A 21,572-nucleotide genomic window follows, 5' to 3' on the forward strand; every position below is an offset into this window, starting at 1 on the left:
GACCAGGTGGAGGGGAGGGAGGAGAAGGGAGGGAGGAACCAATCCACCCTCAACGAATGACGAAATGAGTGCAGGGGTCTGGGAAGATTCAGGAGCAGAACAATGAGATTCCATGTAACACCATGAGAGATGCTAAGCAAGGGGACTGTCGTCCAATCTGGGGCTAAGAATGCAATTAAAATAAAAATCCAACTCATTTTCAATGAGTGAAACTCTCAGATACCAATTCTGTGTTCGATCATACATTTTCTTTTTCACTAAATTCAGTAATCTTTCTTTAAAAAAAAAAAGGAGGGGGTTCTTTTTCTAAGACTAATGCATTTTCACTGTCAAAACATTAGGAAACAGTGAAAAGCAAAAAGAAGAAAAATTGCCTATAATCCCAAAACACAGAAATAACCCTTGTTAACATCTTGGTGTATATTCTTCTAGACATTTTTCTGTGCACATATATATAAATGCATATTTTTATAAGAACAGGATCATATCATTCACACTGTTTTATAACTTGCCTTTTATTTCTTAAGTCATAGGTATTTTTCTATGTTAATAGTCTTTCTAGACCTTTATTTTTAATGGTCATATGTCATAATTTCATTCCCTGTTGTTGGACATTTATGTTGCTTCTGATAACCCTGGTATTATAAATAATGCTATAACAGATAACCTAATATATACATCTTGGTGCATTCATCCATTTTTTTCTTCGACATGAAATTGTTAGTCAAAAGGTTTGTATATGATAGTAGACCAAGTAACAGCCCCCCCTCAAATATAACCACATCCCAATCCCAAGAACCTGTGAAATGTGACCTTACATACAGAAGGGACTGCAGATGTGGTTAAGATGAAGATTCTGAGATGAGGGGATTATCCTGGCTTATCCTAGTAGGCTCTCAATATAATCACAAGGGTCCTTATTAGGGAAAGAAGGAAGCAGGAATGTCAGAGGAAACTGAATGTGCAACACTGCAAGCTCTGGAGGCAGAGGAAGGAGCCACAAGCCAAGAGATGCAGGCAGCCTGCAGAAGCCAGGAGGGCAGGGAGACAGACTCTCCCCAAGAGTGCTGGGAGTGAAGGCGTTTCACCTACTGAGGCCTCTGGCCTCCAAAACTGCAAGATAACAAATTTGTGTTGTTTTAAGCCACTGAGTTTATAGTATCTCTTACAGCAGCAATAAGAACTACATATATGTTTAATAAATTTAAATGTTTATTTTAAAATTATGTTACTTCTAAAGTAAACGATATTTGATAAATAACTACAACCTTCCCATTCTAGTCCTGCAAGCTGAGCAGCATCTGTGCTCCGGAGCCACCCAGACTCCCCTGCTGTGGACAGTGGGCAGGCTGTCCCCAGAATGGAAGTAACATTGTCTTGAGCATCTACTATATGCCAAACACTACCCTGGATTCATATCATCTCTTCCCCTAAAGTTGGAAACAAGAACTTATTTGACACGATTTTACAACTTAACAAATGAGAGCTCAAGAATGTCAAGTGACTTCCCTTAGATGCATGTATGTATTCATCCATCATCCATCAGCTACTGGAAGAACACCTATGAACATCCAGACGCTGAAGTGTAGGCACTGAAGTTGCAGCATGTGTAAGACAGAGTCTCTGCCCTTGGCGGAAGTTCCCTGCCAGGGACGGACCCGGGAAGTGGAGAGCCAGGCTGGGTGCCTAAGTCCTGCTGCCCACAACACAGTAACCTCCCCCGCCCGCCGCCGCCAAGCCTGCAAGTCTCTTCCTCTGCCTTTTTCTTTTGTTCTTAATACCTAATACCTAAAATTCCACTTCAGAAAATTTAGATTTAAAATGCCTAAATCTATTACCACATTTACTATCACCCCTACCAGAATGCAGGCTCTACGGAATCAGGAATCTTTCTTTCTTCCAGTCATGGATTTATCCCACACACTGAGAATAGTGCCTTGCACAGAGCAGGCCCTCAGGAGGTAATTGTTGAATTATTGACCATCGCCCATGCAATTTCCCCTGTATCCCACTGCTCTCCAACTCCTTAGACATCTGCCGATGTCTCCTCTGCAAAGGTCTGCCACCTACCTACCTCCAAATCATGTCCACAAATACAGCACATTAGGCAAGGAAGAAAGAGAGTACTGCATTTTAAATAAAGCAATATTTCATAGATAATGCCAGAATGTCTTCTGAATCTCATCCAAATCATTTAGCTAAAGTAAGGAAGGAAGTCAAGTCTCTCTGCAAATCCAAAGAAAATCGAGCATTACATGTAAAAGAGGAGCAAAAAAAACCCAAATCAAATTCTCAATCCTATTTCTGAAACAGGCCTTGTGTAAGGTGCCCACAGTGGTGCAAAGCACTGTTTCATGAGAAAGGGCAGCCCTGTGTGGCCAAACAGATGAACTGCAATGTTCCACATCGCCTGCCACCGCATCGACCACGTTCCTCTTCCTCACGCCGCCAGGGAAAATAGTCTGCGGCCCCTGTTTTAGAAGTTCCTGCCCTATTTAGGCTAATATTCAGAATCTACAACGAACTTAAACAAATTTATAAGAAAAAAACAACCCCATCCAAAAGTGGGCAAATGATATAAACAGACATTTCTCAAAAGACATTTATGCACCCAACAGACACATGAAAAAACGCTCATCATCACTGCTCATTAGAGAAATGCAAATCAAAACCACAATGAGATACCATCTCACGCCAGTTAGAATGGTGATCATTAAAAAGTCAGGAAACAACAGATGCTGGAGAGGATGTGGAGAAATAGGAACGCTTTTACACTGTTGGTGGGAGTGTAAATTAGTTCAACCATTGGTGAAGACAGTGTGGCGATCCCTCAAGGATCTAGAACTAGAAATACCATTTAACCCAGTGATCCCATTACTGGGTATATACCCAAAGGATTATAAATCATGCTACTGTAAAGACACATGCACACGTATGTTTATTGCGGCACTATTCACAACAGCAAAGACTTGGAACCAACCCAAACGTCCATCAATAAGAGACTAGATAAAGAAAACGTGGCACATATACACCATGGAATACTATGCAGCCATATAAATGATGAGTTCAAGTCCTTTGTAGGGACATGGATGAAGCTGGAAACCATCATTCTCAGCAAACTATCACAAGGAAAGAAAACCAAACACCGCATGTTCTCACTCATAGGTGGGAATTGAACAATGAGAAGACATGGACACAGGAAGGGGAACATCACACACCAGGGCCTGTCGGGGGGTGGGGGGCTGGGGGAGGGATAGCATTAGGAGAAATGCCTAATGCAAATGATAAGTTGATGGGTGCAGCACATCAACATGGCACATGTATACCTATGTAAGAAACCTGCACGTTGGGCACTTGTACCCTAGAACTTAAAGTATAATAAAAATAAATAAAATAAAAAGGAAGCTTGAAGATTCCTGAAAAAAAAAAAGTTTCTGCCCTATTTAATAGTCAATGAAAGGGAGGAGATATCAGTGAACCAGATTATCATGAGTTCTGAAACAAGAGCGAGATTCCTAAGCACTCGCTATGCATCGCAGAATGTTTCCAGTGCTTAAATTAACCGCCTGACTTCATCAGAAGTGGCTATTTTTATCCGTTTTACAGATGAGGAAGTTGAGGCTTGGAGGAGTCAGTGACTTGCTAAAACGTCTCATGGCTAAGAACTGACAGACCCTAGAGTTTGCTGGGACTCAGTGTTTCCATCTAAAGCAAGAATGCCCATCTCCCCCAACCCTTCAGCAGGGGAGGAGAACACATCACCTGCAGGCATTTGCTGGGTGCTTACTGTGTTCCAGGTACCTCGCATACACACAACACTCGAGGTAACTCTCACCCCAATTTTACAGAGGTAGAAGCTGCAGCTCAAAGAGATGAAGTCGCTGGCCCCGGATGACGCAGCTAGCGTGCAGCCGAGTCAAGATTCACTCCCTGGTCTTCCACTTCAGATACAGGTCAGGTATCCCCTAACTGAAATGCTCAGGACCAGAAACATCTCCAATTTTTTTTTTTCGCATTTTGGAATATCTGCATATACGTAATGAGCTATCTTTGGGATGGGACCCAAGTCTAAACATGAAATACATTTATGTTTCATATATACCTTATCCACATAGCCTGAAGGTAACTGTATATGATACTTTTGATAATCTGGTGTCTGAAACAAAGTCTTGACTGCATTTTGACTGTGACCCATCCCATGAAGTCAGGTGTGGAATTTTCCACTTGTGGCGTCATGCAAGTGCTCAAAAAGTTTCGGATTTGGCAGCATTTTGGATTTCAAGTTAGGGATGCCCGATCTGCACAACTGTTCATTCCAGCATATCACAGGGCCACAAGAGAGGCACGGCAATGGCTCAGCAACTAGATTTGGGCAATGAGAGGGGAGAATGGGAGGGAAGGAGAGAAAGGCAGAAAGGGCAAGGGGGCAGGGCGCTACAGATGCAGAGCAGGCCACCAGGATACCCAGAGCAGCGGCATGGTGCAGAGACACACACAAAGAGGCCTGGTTGCAGGCAGACGGGCAGCCTCCCGCAGCCAAGCCCGAGTGTCCGGCAGAGAGGAGCCCTGAGCTGTCTTTCCCTGAAGGTGCCTCTGTGGACACAGCTGCCCGCAGCAGCCCCAGCAGACCGGTTAGGACACTAGTCCTGAGCTGTGACGCTATCTGTCTGCCTTGAGTTTCCGGCTTACCACTCTATTTCTGTAAATTATACTGAGCTGTACCGAGAGAATCCAGGCGAAACTGAGAATGAGTGAAATACTGAGGTTTCTCTTTCAAGAATGAGTGATTCAGGGGACAGCCACAGCCTGCCACCCTGCTTCTTCCCTCCCCTCCTGCCACTCCCTGAACTCACACTCAGCCTCATGCCTAGGCTCCGGCCCTACTGAACTGCTCGTGTTTGCCCCAAACCAGCACGTGGTGTCAGCCCCCTGCTTCTCCACATGCTGCTTGCGTGGAAGGCTTTTCTACGTACTCTAACCTAGGCCAGTACTGCTTCCTTTATTGATCTGCTGATTACACTGAGTGCCTTAAGGACAGTACCTATCTTATTTGATCTGTATTTCCAGAACTAAGTCCAGTGCTTAATACATAATAGGTGCTCAGTAAGTATTAAATAAATGAATGAAAGATCAACAAACTATATCGCCTGTCCACGCTGCAAAATAATTCAGTTGAGGGGAAGAGGGCAGACTCAAAAGCATGAAGCTCTGTGAGGTGGATGGTGGTCATGGTTGCACAGCAATGTGAATGCGCTTCTTGCCGCTGAACTCCTCACTTAAAAATGGTTACAGGGGCCGGCACAGTGGCTCATGCTGTGTTCCCAGCACTTTGGGAGGCTGAGGCACAAGAATTGCTTCAGTCCAGGAGTTTGAGACCAGCCTGGGCAATAGGCTAAGACCTCATCTCTACAAGAAAATATTTTTTTAATTAGCCAGGCATGGTGGCACACACTTGTAGTCCTAGATACTTGGGAGACTGAGGTGGGAGGATTGCTTGAGCCCAGGAGTTCAAGACTGTAGTTAGCTATAATTGCACCACCATACTCCAGTCTGGGCAACAGAGCAAGACCCTGTCTCAAAAAAAAAGAAATTATTACAATGGTAAATTTTACATTATTTGTATTCTACCACAATTTTTTAAAATAATTTTTTAAAAACATAGTCCACACTCTTTCAGCTCTGGAGACCTGCCCAGTTCCTGCAAGAAGGTGGCAGCTATGCACGCAGAGGGCTTGCCAACCACCAGTCCCGCCAGCCCTGTGCAGAGCTGCTACCCACTCCACAGCCCCCACTCCAGGGCCATCAACCCTCAGCTCCAGAAGCACAGCAGCTTGGTCTGCCTCACGGTGACTTTCAAAGCCAAATTCCTCGAGTTTCTAACTTGGGCTGTGAGTGCCTTGAAGTGAGGGACTAGTCTCTCCCAATGCCCATAACCTAGCCTGCAGTCCTGGGCCTAGTCAGCATTCAGCAGAAAACAACAGTAGCTGCCGGACATGGAGCAGAGATTCTGTGTCCAGTTTTCTGGATGGTATTGCCATTTTCCACCAAAGCGAATCAATTCCAAGTCTGCTGCTATCTGAGTGCCGAATGAAATAATGAATAACTGAATGAAGCGCTGAATGAATGACTTTGGTGGGAAACGGAGAGGGTGGCGGGCAGATGGACCAGACAGGGGAACGCTGTGCGGTGCATCTCACATGGCAGCCAGCATCTAGGGAAACGTCTGAGTCCAGAAATCAGTTCAGCCTGACTATACCTTCAGAATACATCCAGATTTCCCAATAGTTATTGTAGCCTTTGTTTCAATAAATTGCCTTTCAAGGGAGATAAGGGGGAGGGGAGGGGACTCAGAATAGAATTATTCATTCAGGTCTCCAAACATGGATAAGGTCAATGCAAAAGCCTATTAACTCCAGGAGCAAGAAGAGAGTTGTAAAAAGAGAACTGACTTACAAACTATATTTTAAAAAGAAGGTTTAGCATTAATTAACAAATGGAAAGGAGGAGAAATTTTTAGAGAAACTAAAAATATCTCACCTAATAAAAGAATTGCTAATTTAACTCGTTCGTGAAGACAAGATACAAAAAGTTTAGAAGGAGTAAAATCTCTATGCTGTGTAGCTTTTATTAAAATATGTGGCAGACAAATGGGGAGAAGTCACCCAGCACCCACATGTACTCAGCAAACACAGCGACCACCCCCACAAGCCAGGGCGGCTCCAGGCAGTGGGGACACGGAGATGCACGAGAGCCACACCTCATCTTTGACTCATTCTCTCCCAATGCTTACAACCAAACTTCACAAAAGAGGGACTGCATCTGCTGCTCACTGTACCCCAGTGGCTCCTCAGCACATAATTTGGCTTCTGCCCATAAACTCTATAGAAACTTCCCCTAAAAATTTCCTAAGTCGTCAACAAATCCACATTGCCAAATTCAGGGGCTATTTTTCACATTTCTCCTGCTGGGTCTCCCTGCTATTAATCGTGTATATCTTTTCTGGACAATGCCTTGGTTTCTGCCACCCATCCTTCTTCCTTCTTCCTCTTCAGGCTCTTCTGTGAACAGCTCTGCATTTTCCCATCCCTCAGACGCTGGGATGCAGAATTCAGCAATGGCCCAATTTCCTCTCCCACAGGATCATGCCTTGAGTGGCTGCTGACATTCTGTGGCTGTCTTCTCCCCTGCCTGGTACTAACAGCCATGTCTCTGTCTCTAGCTCAGACTTGGCTGGACAGCTAGGCATGGTCTCCTGGGCCTCCGTGCAGCACAGGCCCACAGCCTCAGCGAGTCCAGGTGGAACTCCGCATGGGCCTGCCACTCTTCCCTCCATCCACAGCCACACAAGTCAGGAACCAAAATCCACCCCGCCATGTCCTGCCAATCCCTGATGTGTGTCCATTTTATCACCTGAATGTCCCCCGTATACAGCCTCTCCTGCCCATACCTAACTCCTGGCTCAAGCCCGCATCATCTCTCACCCCCACCAGCAGCAGCCCCTGCCTCTCTCTAGTCTAGCATGAGCAGGCTGCTGGGATGATGGGGCCACAATACCTGGCCTTGCTCGTAATAAGGTAATGCCTTATGTGTAAGTACTTACTATGCACTAGGAAATGTGCCAAATGTTTTAATGGATAAACAGATTCAATGCCAACACTCCCTTTATAAAATGAGTACTAGGCTGGGCGCACTGGCTCACACTTGTAATCCCAGCACTCTGGGAGGCCGAGGTGGACAGTTCACCTGAATGAAACCCCGTCTCTACTAAATATAAAAATTAGCCAGGCGTGGTGGCGTGTGTCTGTAATCCCAGCTACTGGGAAGGCTGAGGCAAGAGAATCGCTTGAACCCGGGAGGCAGAGGTTGCAGTGAGCCAAGATCGCACCACTATACTCCAGCCTGGATGACAGAGTGAGATTCCGTCTCAAAAGAAATAAAAATAAAAACAAAATAAAATAATAAAAATACAAAAAAATTAGCCAGGCATGGTGGTGCATGCCTGTAGGCCCAGCTACTCGGGAGGTTGAGGCAGGAGAATCACTTGAACCTGGGAGATGGAGGTTGCAGTGAGCTGAGATCACGCCACTGCACGCCAGCCTGGGTGACAGAATGAGTGTCTGTCAAAAGAAAAAGAAATGAAAGAAAGGGAAGGGAAGAGGAGGGGAAGGGAAGGGGGAAGGAGGGAGGGGAAGGGGGCAAGGAGGGAAGGGAAGCAAAGGGGAGGGGGGGATGCGGGGAAGGAGGGAAGGGAAGGGAAGAACTACCATTATCTTCATTTGACTGATGAGGAAGCTGAAGTCCATAGAGCTCAAGTATCTTACCTGAGATTATCTGCAAGGCAGGAGCAGAGCCACAGTTCAAACCAAAGCAACCTGCCCGGAGCCCAGGTTATCAGCCACTCTATCCTGGTGCCTCTGCCTACCTCCCCAGAATCATCCCTCACCCCTCACTGTACCCACCCCTGATATGACCCAGTGAGACCCAACTGCTTCCTACGTCTGCACTTTTCTCTGCTCACGCTGCTGCCTCTGCTAAGCGCCATGATCCTGCCTCCCTCGATGTCTGGAGCAGCCAGGGTGCCCTGACTGTCCATGCTGCCCATAACTCCTCCAGGAGCCCCGCCTGCATGCACCGCAGCACACTCTGCATATGTGCACCTACGACCAGGTGGTGTGGAGTCCAGCTGGAATAGCAACCTCAGTGCGATAACACTCATCATGATGCCCAAAAGGCATGACCGAAAGCTCCCCAAAATCAACCCCTGTGCAATAACGCATGCCCATCAGGTCCCATGGTTCCCTTCCCAGCAGCCTGGCTGGGCATCAGCAGTGAGTGCCATCACACCAATATCCAGATGTGAGCTTAGACCAACAAAACTCAACTGGAAAGAAGAGAAGCCAGAAAAGGTGATCTCCCTCCAGCCCTAACCCTCTAGGGTGCCAAATGCAACAATGATTGAAAAGTCGTTCCTCCTGGAAGGCCATGCTCTCAGTCACACCCAGGGTCGGGACCGGAGTGGACACATGGTCCTCACCTCCAGGGAGCTCAAGCTCCCACAGGGAGTCAGGACTGTGAACACACACAGGAGCGTGTGCAAGCAGTCCGACAGAATATGGTTAAAGAAGGGAGGGAAGGCATGAGTATCATGAGTAGTGTTTCTAGGGAAATATTTTCCCCAGACATCTCAGGGTCTGGCAACATGTGTGAGAAGATCCTCCACTCCTCCAGCATGAGGAATTTCAGATACTGAGCTGGGGTCTGGAAGGTCACACGCAGCAAGAAAGCAAGCAGGCAGCTCTGCGGAATGGGAGTGCTGGTTTCTAGACACCTGCACCTAGAGCTTAGCCAACTTGCCTATCCGTCTTTTTCTTCCAAATGTGTATACAGCCTCCTCATCCAATGAAAGAATGGCAGTTGCCACATCTGAAGCCCTGCACTGGGCCTAGGCCTGACATGTTGCCCCACTCCCTCCCAGCTGAGCCAAGAACTGGTGCTGCCTCCACTCAACAGTTGGGGAGAGAAAGCAACTTGTCCTCCACCTCCCAGTGAGCATCATTGCTACTTAGCTTGTTCGAATGCAAAACGCATGATCTCGCCATTATAGTACTGAAGACCAAAAAAGGTAGCTGAATCAATCAGACAGGAGTATTCACTGGCAGCTGCCTGTATTTTCACAATGGTACCAGGTCACACAGGACACAGAAGAATCTAAGTGACAGTTCATAGCTTTCAAAAAAAAAAAAAACTTGTTAACAATCAGTTTGAGATCAGAGTATGCAGGATTCATGTCAATATCCATGTGACACAGAGCACAGGAATAAAGAAAGAGCTAAGGCTCTTGGGACATAAGCAGGACACTGACAATTAGGTAAAGGATTAATGGTTGTGCCACAGATTTTTATAAGAGGATTTCAAAAATAGGGGTGAAGTGGTTTAAGGACTGAGATAGGAAGGGGAAAAAACACCTCTGCACACACACCACACGCCAAAAGCACATGAGGTACTTTGCACACCACAGCACCCCTTTGAATCCTCACAACAGTCCTCGGAAAGCCATCACCATCCTCACCTGACAAGGGTGGAAACGGAGGTTCTGAGGGCTGACTGAGGCCATACAGCTGGCAGCAGCTGGAATGACTCTCAAGCCTATGTCTGACTGGCAAAAAGACAGCTTCACCTTTAGACATGTGGTAGTTATAGGAACATGAAGGTATGTGAATGGGAATATCTCAAAGAAAATTGGAAATGTAAGAGGAAAGCTCAAGTACGAAGATGGGGCTGATGATGAGTTTTAAGCTCCCGCTATTTCATAGGCATGAATATGTATTTCTCTTTCTTTCATTTCTAAAGCAAAAGGCCACACGAAAGCTGACCCAGTACTTCTACAAAGAAACGACAGTAATTAAATGGGAACATCTCCATTTTCTCGATGATTAACTGAAGGGAAAGCATCCCTCTCACAGGAGGGTTCTGCTCTGAATGAACCTGCTCAAAGAGCAACGGTAACTCCGGCACCCAGAAAATATGCATTATGGATAAAAGGAGAAGTTAAAGTTTTGCAGAAATCTATGCAGCAACTGTATGAAATGTGGCATATGGCTGTATGTCAGATACATGGACGAGACTAAAAAAGATGCCAAGCCATCATCTCCCACTCCCCAAACCCCAGCTTTCTCCTCTATCAGGTAACTTGCTCAATAACGAGATGCACTGACAATGAGGTAGTTAAAGGTATCTAGGTATCTTATTAGTGTGGCAACTTTGTCATTTTGTCATCACGTACTTTGATCATTTCAAAGTGATCAGGATGATTTTTAAAATTTGTCAATAACATATCGAAGGTGACATTGGCATAATGTAAGATTAACCATTCTCCAGTGACGAATGGTTCGGCAGCCTTCAGTGCATTCACAATGTTATGCAACCACCTCTATCCAGTTCTAAAACATTTTTTTAACCCAAAAAGGAAACCCTATACCCATTTAGCAGCTGATGCCCCTTCTCCCCACCCAGGACCTGAAAATCACCAATCTGCATTCTGTCTCTATGGATTTTCCTGTTCTGAATGTTTCCTATAAACGGAATCATACATACTTTCACTTCCCTTCTCTCACTTAGCCTGTTCTCAAGGCTCATGGATGCTGAGTAACTGCTGCTAGCACGAGTTAGGAGGGCTCTTTGATGATTCCTCGCTGTCCTCAGAGTGAAGTCTGTTTTCCTTTGGAATTTCTTGCTGTCATGTCTGGTCCTCCCTCGAAGGCAAGGACAGACGGATTGAGGGCCAGGAGAGGTGGTGCTGCCTGAGTGACCAGTGTCCAGGGGAACAGGCCTGGGGCCAGGCCATCCAGATGTGGGGTGCATTTCACTCTCTCCAGCTTCATGCTTTCCCTCCCCAAAATGATTTTTCTCCACAACCCACAGATCTTTTATGCATTGAATAGTTATTGTGTCTCCTTCACTAGAGGGTAAGTTCTATGGGGAGATGCACCAGAATTTGTTTACTGCTCTCTGCTCCTATTTTGACATAGTAGGCTTTTAATAAATGCCTGTTGAATGAGTGACTGGATGCTGGAGGTTCTGACACAAACTGTTTTCGAGGGGCTCGCGGTCCCCTGGAAGGACAGGCAGATGAACCAACATGCATGAGGTAAGCAAGGGGGAAATATGAGCCCAGAGGAGCCTGTACATCTCTGAGGAAGCTGGGAAAAATTCATTTATTTTTAAGTAAATAAAAATAAAATTGCTATTAGTTTTTTACAGTGAACATAGATAATATTTGAAATAAAAAATAGTTATTGAGTGCAAATCAAAACCACAGTGAAGCACCACTTCACATCCACTAGGATGGCTACAATAACACAGCTGGGAGGTAACAAGTGTTGGTAAGGGTGTGGAGAATTCAGAACCCTCGCGCATGACTGGCGGAAATGGAAAATGCTTCAGCTGCTGTCGAATACAGCTCCTCAAACGGTTCAACAGAGAGTCAGCCTAGGATCCAGCAATTCCACGGAGAGGTACAGACCCAAGAGGATGGAAAACAGGCATCCAAGCAAATACATGCACACACATGTTCACAGTAACCCGAAGGTGGAAACAGCCCAGGTGGCCATCGACAGATGATTGGACAAACAGAATGCGGATGTGGAAGGGCAGTACGATGACATATTGTCCAGCCACGAGAAGGAAGGAAGCACTGATGCTCAGCACGGCATCTACGAGCCTTGAGAACAGGCTAAGTGAGAGAAGGGAAGTGAAAGTGTATATGATTCCGTTTATAGGAAACATTCAGAATAGGAAAATCTATAGAGACAGAATGCAGATTGGTGGTTTTCAGAGCCGGGGTCGGGAGGAGGAGGATCGGCTGCTAGATGGGTATAGGGTTTCCTTTTCGGTTGAAGCTGTACCCTCAACCTCCCGGGCTCAACTGATCCTCCCACCTCAGCCTCCTGAATAGCTGGGACTACAGGTGTGCACCGCCATGCTCAGCTAGTTTCTGCATTTTCTGTAGAGACGGGGTTTCACCATGTTGCCTAGGGTGACCTCAAACTCCTGGACTCAAGAATTCCACCTACCTTGGCCTCCAGAAGTGCTGGGACTACAGGTGTGAGCCACTGTGCCCTGCTATATATGAGTCTTTTACATGACTTTTTAAAAGCATTTTATTGGAAGCAATAAAATTATTATATAAATGTTCTTTTATTGCTGTTTTAACAAACAGAAGCCCTATCAGGATGCTCATAATCTGTGATTTCTGGAAGTGGCAGTGGGGTGAGGACAGCTGGAGTTGCTGTATGACCATGTCCTCTATGTCACACATGTGAGAGCCATGATCTCTAATTTCTGTTGGATGCTATGCTAGGCACCCTCCATAATCCTGAAATCACTCTACCAAAGGAGACAGTATCATGTCTGTTCTCTAGATTAAGAAACTAAGTTCACAGAAGGAAAATGATCTTCCAAAGGCTGCTCAGCCAATAAGCAAAAGAGCCCCAACAGGAAGCCAGGTGTGTCTGATCCCAAATTCCACATCCTCTTTGCCTGTGGCCTCTCTGAAACACTTGTTGAGAATCTGACACATGCCAAGGGTTGTGGGAGAAAGGTAGAAAAATAGTCTTTACCTCTCAGGAACTTGAAACCCAATTAGGGGGACATATAGACATCCCACTCTGGTCTATAACAGAATGAGCTACAGAGACTCAAGGAGGCATGAAGAAGGCTCACTGGGAAACTGATGAGGATCAGAAAGAGCCTTAGAAAAGCAGTCTCAGGAGCACTCTTTGAAGGAAAGCAAGGACGACGTGGTTGTTTTATAGCCCAACATGAGCTCACTCCTCTTCTGGTCACAACACCCTCATTTCCCTCTAGAGAACTACCCAGCTCCAGCGCTACTCCTGTGCTGGGGTGAGAATGGCCAGGCCTGCAGCCTCACAGGTAGATCTCAGACTCAGGCCTAGCCAGCCCCAGCCTCCAAGAACCTCGGGCAGGTGACTGGGTCGTGAAGAGGTGGGTCAGAGGTTTTTCAATGAAGACAGAGAAGTGCACACTATTTTCTCATCATCCCACCTGGAAAACACCAGCCTGACACCTGGCCAGCCACATTCCTGCCACCTGGAGCCTAAGAATGACATCAAGTTGCGAGAAACAGGTTAGAGAGTTGAGAGATGATGTCTGAAACTGAAAACAAACCTCCATCTGCACTTTCCCATTAAATGAGCTGATAAATGACCTCTTCTGAATATACCACTTAGAGCTGGGGTTGGGCATTTCTGGATCTCTGGCTAAACAACCAAAATATCCTCTTCAATCTTAATATTCTTATGCATAAACATTACAGAGACCAAAAAAATACCTATCTCACTATAGACAGAAACAGATTGGTGACAGCATATATAGGTAAAGAAAAATACTCTTTTAAAAGAAGAAACAATTAGTAAATAAATGCTGCAACTTTATTTATTCACCCATCCATTGAAAATATTAAAATTTTACTGTATGTATAAAATGGAACATCATCTAGGCCACTGCTGAAGACTAAGTTCTCAGGAAGAACATACCTGTAAAACATATCCTCTAAGTCATTGAGGGTCTTTGTGATTCTCTATGCTTACAGCTATGTCCTGTTAGATCTTACAAGACTTATTTACAGCAAGAATCACAAACAGCAAGGGATAAAAGTACCTGTCGAGTCAAAGCGCACCAAGAGCTGAGGTCCTCTGCCATGCAGCTTCTTCCACTCTCGAGCCCCCAGCACCTGCACTGCCTGGCAGTGCATCTGAGGGGGACAAAGGGACCCCGTGGACCCGTAGGAGGAAAAAATTGGGAGAACTCCAAGTCCATATTCCTGAGATGCCCCCATGCTCTACTCCAGTGCCATGCTAATATTTATACTTTTTAGTGCATTCAAAGCAGGACTCTGGGGTAGGAGTATGGCCGCACCAACCAAGGCACTGTGCAGGAATCACCGAGGGTGCTAGGGGTCACCATTCGGAACATAAGGGCTCTGTCTTGAGGAGTATCTGGCGGCGTGAGGAGGGCAGAAAAGCAACAGAAAATGACAACTGCTATGGGTGCCGCAGGTACTCTGAGCCAGGCTCGGAGAAAGGCTGAGTTCATATCTGAAGGCTAAGCAAATACATAATAGAAATTCAGTGCAGTAATTGCTCCCACTCAAGTATGTGCCAACTGCTGTGGCCACACAAAGGAAGAACTGTCTCTTTATTCAGGAGGAAGGGCAGGCAGAGGCTGTGGCATTGCACTGGACCAGAAAGCATGAGCACCTGTGGAGCACAGCAACGTGAAACAGAGCACTCTGAGCACACAGGGAGGACTCCCCAGAGACGGGAAGAGATACAATTAAAAGCCAGGATGGTATCGGATTGAAAAAGGACCATGATGTCAGTTTCAACTAGTTCTGGACAACAGAGGAGGTTTAAACTACCTCTGGACAATGGAGGGGGAGTTAAACTACCTGTGGGCAATGGAGGGGGGTTAAACTACCTGTGGGCAATGGAGGGGGGTTAAACTACCTCTGGGCAATGGAGGGGGGTTAAACTACCTCTGGGCAATGGAGGGGGGTTAAACTACCTCTGGACAATGGAGGGGGAGTTAAACTACCTCTGACAGTGGACAGGGGGTTAAACTACCTCTGGAGTTTACAATGGAGGAGACTTAAGAAAGGAACAGCCTACTTGAGTTTTATGAGAGCTACGATCGCAGCAGCAGCAGCAGCAGCTGACACTTCCTGACACTCAGAAATGCCGCACACTGTGCTAAATGCTTTGAGTTTAGAAAGTTTCCAGCACACAGGAAGCAGCAATAACATTACCTATTACTATGATTAAAAATAATTCTCCTAACCAACCTACAAGAAAAGTACTATCATTCCCAAATTTATAGGGGAGAAAACTGTGATTCGGTGAGATTCCTTTGACCATGGTCAACAGCTACCAAGTGCTCAGGTCCAATTACATGACTGCACACACTGTCTCTGAGCCACTACACTTGTTGGCTGTCCAGTGTAGAATGAAATGGAGGGAAGATACTGAAGCTGGTGGCTGGTTAAAAAGCTGCACAATACCTGTGGTCAAAGCCTGAGATCATGGGGCCCTAAGCATGAGACAGTAGCTATGGAGACAGACACTGAGAAGATAAGCAGAGATAATGCTACTGCTGTTCCATAGGGTCTGCATTTGTACTAGGTTTTATACTGACGTATGCACAACCCATTAACTGATAACAGCTTTCAATTAATAGTCTACAAGACTACTACAAGAATTACCAGGAAGGAGAGAACCAAGATGGAACAGATGGGGCAGTGGAATCACAAACTAGAACCCTTGGATTAAAGACATCTTCTGTGGCCGGGCACAGTGGCTCATGCCTGTAATCCCAACACTTTGGGAGGCCGAGGCAGGAGGATCACGAGGTCAGGAGATCGAGACCATCCTGGCTAACAAGGTGAAACCCCGTCTCTACTGAAAATACAAGAAATTAGCCAGGCTTGGTGGCGGGTGCCTGTAGTTCCAGCTACTCGGGAGGCTGAGGCAGGAGAATGGCGTGAACCCAGGACGTGGAGCGTGCAGTGAGCCGAGATCGCACCACTGCACTCCAGCCTGGGCGACAGAGCAAGACTCTGTCTCAAAAAAAAAAAAAAAAAAAAATCTTCTGGTTAGCCCACTCAGTGTCACATGAAACTTGGTGATTGAATTGCCTTCAGTCAGGGTACAGATCTTCTGGTCCCCACATACCTCCAGTAGGGGACTCGCTTGCCCCATGCAAGCATTTGCTCACCCCAGTCTAAGATATGTCTATAGACTATGGCATAAACTTAGCTATCCATGCATTGGAAATATTTATCAGGAAGATTTCATCAATGTGGTACGGAAATATCAGAGACAGCAAAATATGTCCAGTAGTCAGACTAGAACGTGCTTCAGTCTTGGCTCCACCTGCTCACTAGTACGTGAAACTGGGTAAGTGGCTCAGCTTCTCTGAGCCTCTGATGATGTCAGCATCTGTAAAATGGGGTTATTGTAATAATTAATAAAATGGCAAATACCAAGTGCCTAGCATGGCAGATGACACACGGCAGGAGCCTGAGCCATGGTAGCCATTATAATCATTATTCAGAAGACATGAGTTTGGGGGGTAAAGGGCAAGAAGAAAAGTGGAGAAGAAGGAAAAATGTTTAGCTTTGAGGATTTTTTTTTAATTGAGATTTACACATATTCTCACTTATAAGTGGGAGCTAAATAATGAGAATATATGGACGCATAGAGGGAAACAACAACACACTGAGGCCTCTTGGAGGATGGAGGGTGGGAGGAGGGAGAGAAGCAGGAAATATGACTAATGGACACTGGGCTTAATACCTGGCTGATGAAATAATCTACACAACCAACCCCCATGACACATGTTTACCTGTGTAACAAACCTGCACATCCTGCACATGTACCCCCAAACGTAAAAGTTAAAAAATAAAATAAATTGAGGTATAATTCACACGCCATAAAATTCACCCTTTGGAAACGGTATACAACTCAGTGACTTTTAGTATATTCACAGAATTGTGCAATCATCATCACTATCTAATTTCGGAGTATTTCCATCATCCCAAAAAGAAATCATGTACCCATTAGCAGTCACTCCCGATTCCCCCTCCTGCTTTCCCCCAAGCCCCTGGCAACCATCAATCTGCCTTCTGTCTCCATGGAATTGCCTATTCTGGACACTTCCTATAAATGGCGTCATATGACGTGTGGCCTTTTGTGTCTGGCTTCTTCCGCTTAACGATGTTTTCAAGGTGCATCATGTCAAAGCATGGATCAGTACGTCACTCCTTTTCTGGGCTGAAATAATAATTCTATTGCATTAATCTACAACAGTTTATCCATTCACCAGCTGACGGGCATTTCGGTTGTTTCCACTGTTTGACTATCATAAATAATACTGCTATGAACATTGTGTTCAAGTTTTTGCAAACATGTTTTCAGTTCTCTTGAGTATAGACCCAGGGTGGAAATGTGGGCTCATATGATAACTATGTTTTTTGTGGAACTACCAAACTGTTTTTCAATGCACCTGGGGATTTTTTTTTTTTTTTTTACTGTAACCGAAAGTCAAAGATACTTAAAAACCTCTTTAGAATTTAACAGACAACAAAAATGGGGAGTACATGGTGTTGCCTGGTTTCAGTCGTCAAATCTCAGAATCTATTCAATTACAATTCAATTTCCAACAGACAACCACTTACCATGTTTCTTTAGAAAACAGTACACACAGCTAACAGGAAAATCAGCCAACAAAAGGATGCCAAAGAAAATTCATCCAATAGTTGCCCCAAATAATTGGTTTTTGAATTATGAACCTCCATTACACTGAGTGTCAGCAAGAGATGTATTATTTCTTTGAGGGAAAGGGAACAAGCAGACATTGGCATAAGAGACGCCACAGCAGTTTCCAGGCTTCTACCACAGAGGTCCTTTATTACGCAATTAAGCAAGCAGCACCTGAGATGCGGGCCAGGTTCTGAAAAAGAGTTGGTTCCAGCATGTTTCCTACTTTGAATCACAGCCTCAAACAAAAGAAATGAACGCCAAAGAGATTAGAAAATGTAAGGCTCACATCTCCAGAGTAAACTCTACTTGCTGACAAGACCAATTCTAAAAACAGAAAAGTAACTGAGTCTTAAGTATGTGCAGACAATAGCTGAAGATTTAGATGTAAAACAACGAAATCTGACGACATCCACGGGTTTAATCCTGACACTGCCATTGAACAGAATATTTAAACCATCCAGCCTCTCTGTGTGCTGTGCTCCAATGCTATACACTCCATGACAGTGTGCAACCGTGTACCATGACTTCTGGAATGCAGTGAGGATTCTTTATTTGTGTAGCAAACATTTACTAAGGATCAGAAATAATAAATGCAAAACATCTACAACTATCTCACATTGTAGGCAATCAATAAATTGAAGCCATCCTACTGAACATACACTTATTCGGCAGTGAATGTGCATGCCAGACATCGGGCTATGCCCTGAGGACAGACACGTAAAAGACATTCCTTGTTCTTAAGAAACTGAGAGTCTGATGGAAGAGACAGGGAAGGAAACCGTCGCAACTCAGTGTGTGCTAAGTGATGTGACAAAGGAAAATACAGGGCCACTGAACACATCGACAGGCTGAGAGGTAAGGAAAGACAGTCAAAGACGATCTCTCTTGAACTATGAAAGTTGTTTTATTTTATTGAGAAATAATTAATATGAACAAAATGTTGCCACTCCAAGTGTATGCAAAACCACCCCTAATAAATTAACGTACTGGTGTATCCACTTGCACAACTAACACGTAGAGTATTCCCATCACCCCTAAAAGTGCCTTCCTGCCTCCTCTCTGGCCATCTAACGTCCCACCCCAAAGCCTCCAGCAACGAGTGACCTGCCTCCTGTTATGACAGTTTCACTTTGCACATTCCAGAATTCCTTATGAACAGAATCACACAGTCTGCATTCTTTCGTGTCTTGCTTCCACAGACAGTAACGTTTCTGAGATTCATCTGTGTGTTGGGCATACCGGTAGCTCGTTTCTCTCCACTGCCACGTGGTATTGCACTGCATGGGTATGTTAAAGTGTGTTTATCCATTCATCTGTTCCTGGACATTTTGTTTCCAGTTTGGGGCTATTATGAATAAAGCTGCTATGGGCATCGGTCATGTCTTTGAGTGAATCCGTGTTTTCATTTTCCTAAGGTACATAGGGGAGAAGAGGAATTGCTGGGTCATCACATAAGTATATGTTTAACAATAAATAGCTAAACATTTCCCCAAAGTAGTCACACTATTTTACATTCTCATTCATAATATAGGAGAGTTCCAGTTACTCTGTAGCCTCACCAATGCTTGCAATAATCACTCTTTTTAGTCATTCAAATGGATCGCATAATGAAATCTCCTCATGGTTTTAGTTTGCATTTCCTTACTGACAAGTGATGCTGAGCATCTTTTCATGTTATTTGCCATGCACGTATCTTCTTTGGTGAATTAGCTATTCAAATCATTTGCCTATTTTTAAAATCTAGTTATTTGTCTTACTATTGGTTGTAAGAGCTTTATGTCTATTCTGGATACAAGTCTTTTTAACAGATACATGTTTTGCAAATACTTACTCCAAGGCTGAGCTTGCTTTTTTATTGCTTTAAAAGTGGCTTTTGAAGAGAAGTTTTTAATTTTGATGACGTCTAATTTACCATTTTGTCCTTTGTGTTTTAGACTTTTTGTCCCAAGAAATCTCTACCCATCTCAAGACTGAGAAGATTTTCTTGAATGTTTTCTTCTAGAAACTTTACTGCTTTATATCTCTTATATTTAAGTCTATGATCCATTTTGATCTAATTTTTATATACATGTGGGGTTAAGGGTCGGAGTTAATTTTTGGCATATAAATAATTAGTTGTTCCAGCATCACCTGTTGAAAAAGCCAATCCTTCCCCCTTTGAATTACCTTGGCACATTAGTCCAAAATCAATTGACTATTTATGGATGGGTCTATTACTATTAATGGGGACTTCCTATTTTGTTTCCATTAATCTATGTTTATCCTTATGCCAATATCACACTGTGTTAATTACTGTAGCTTCGTTGTCTGGGATATTTTAGTTCCTACATACGTCATACAAACTTTAGAATAAAGCAATCAATTTCTAAGAAAAAAAAACAAGCCTGCTGGAATTTCGATTACACCTGCATTGAATATAAAGATCAATTTGGGAAGAACTGTCATTTTTAATATGAGGTATTACTACCCATAGCCATGTATATCTTTCAGTGTCTTTCTATTTATTTGGATCATTTTCTCAAGACAATCTTTTATAATTGTCTTGGGAATAGACAATCTCCTATAATTGTCTTGAGAAAATGTATATTTTCTTGTAATTTTCAATGTACAATTCTTGCACATCTTTTCTTAAATTTATCCCCAAGTATATAATTTTTGTTTTTATAAATGATATGGTATTCTTAACTTTATTTTCCAAATGTCCATTGATAATATATAGACATAGGTTTGACTTTTGTATATTAATCATGTATCCTACTACCTTGCTAAATTACTCTACTTTTTGTAAATTCCTTAGTATTTTCTACATGCATAGTAATGTTTTCTGTGAATAACGAGTTTTATTTCTTCCTTTCCAATCTGGGCACATTTTTTGTTCCTTATGGCACTAACTAGACTATTCAGCACAATATGAAATAGAAGTAATGAATATGAACATCCTTGCCTTCTTACCGGCCTTAGGAGGAAAGCATTCACCATTAAGCATACTGTTGAGCACAGAGGCCTGTTAGCAAGTGGGCTTCTATTTCCAGTCTCCTAAGTGTTTTGTATCATAAATGTGTGATGCATTTTGTCAGAGGCTCATTATACATCTATTGCTATGATCATGGTTTTTATTCTCCTTCATTCTATTAATATAGTGAATGACACTGATTGAAATTTGAATACTTAACCAGCCTTGCATTCTCAGAATAAATCTCACTAGATCACAATGAACCACCCATTTCATAGAATGCTGCATTCTTTTTCTTCTTTTAATAAATATATCATTGGATTCCATTTGCTAATTTTTCAAGGGTTTTGCATACATGCTCAAGATGGACATCGTTCTGTAATCTTCTTATAGTGTCTCTGATGTTGGTGTCAGGATAAAGCTAGCCTGATAATACAAATTGGGAAATGTTCCCTCCTCTACTTTCTGAAAGAATTTTTATAAAAATTGTATTTCCTCTTTATTATAATGTGATAAAATTTACCAGTGAAATTCTGTGACTAATATTTTATTTGGGGAAATATTTTTGAATAATGAACTGACTTTTATTAAAGAAAGGGCTATTTAGGCATTCCGTTTCATCTTCAATAAATATTGGTGATGTGCATCTTTCAAAATATTTTTCTATTTCATCTAACTTATCAAATTCACTCACATGAAGTTTTCCATTACAATTATTATCCTTCTAATGTCTGTAGGAAAGACTGATGTCTCCTTTTTCATTCCTGATATTGATATGTTAT

At 43.8% G+C, this 21,572-nt stretch overlaps 1 protein-coding gene across 18 annotated transcripts in view; it reads right to left on the minus strand.

Moving 5' to 3' along the window:
- The window catches only part of TRAPPC9 (trafficking protein particle complex subunit 9), a 730,855-nt gene that overhangs the window by 429,690 nt on the left and 279,593 nt on the right, over positions 1–21,572 (minus strand). For 2 of the 18 annotated variants that reach the window (XM_017013893.2, XM_047422299.1), the window contains exon 18: positions 18,719–19,247. The exons of the other annotated variants lie outside the window; for them this stretch is intronic. In XM_017013893.2, the coding sequence (XP_016869382.1) occupies positions 19,128–19,247 (120 nt within the window). In that variant the 3' untranslated portion in view covers positions 18,719–19,127. Of the gene's footprint in view, positions 1–18,718; positions 19,248–21,572 lie in introns of those variants that run through there. 18 annotated transcript variants of the gene reach the window in all.

This window comes from Homo sapiens, chromosome 8, assembly GCF_000001405.40.
Source record: "Homo sapiens chromosome 8, GRCh38.p14 Primary Assembly".
NCBI classification, from domain to species: Eukaryota; Metazoa; Chordata; class Mammalia; order Primates; family Hominidae; genus Homo; species Homo sapiens.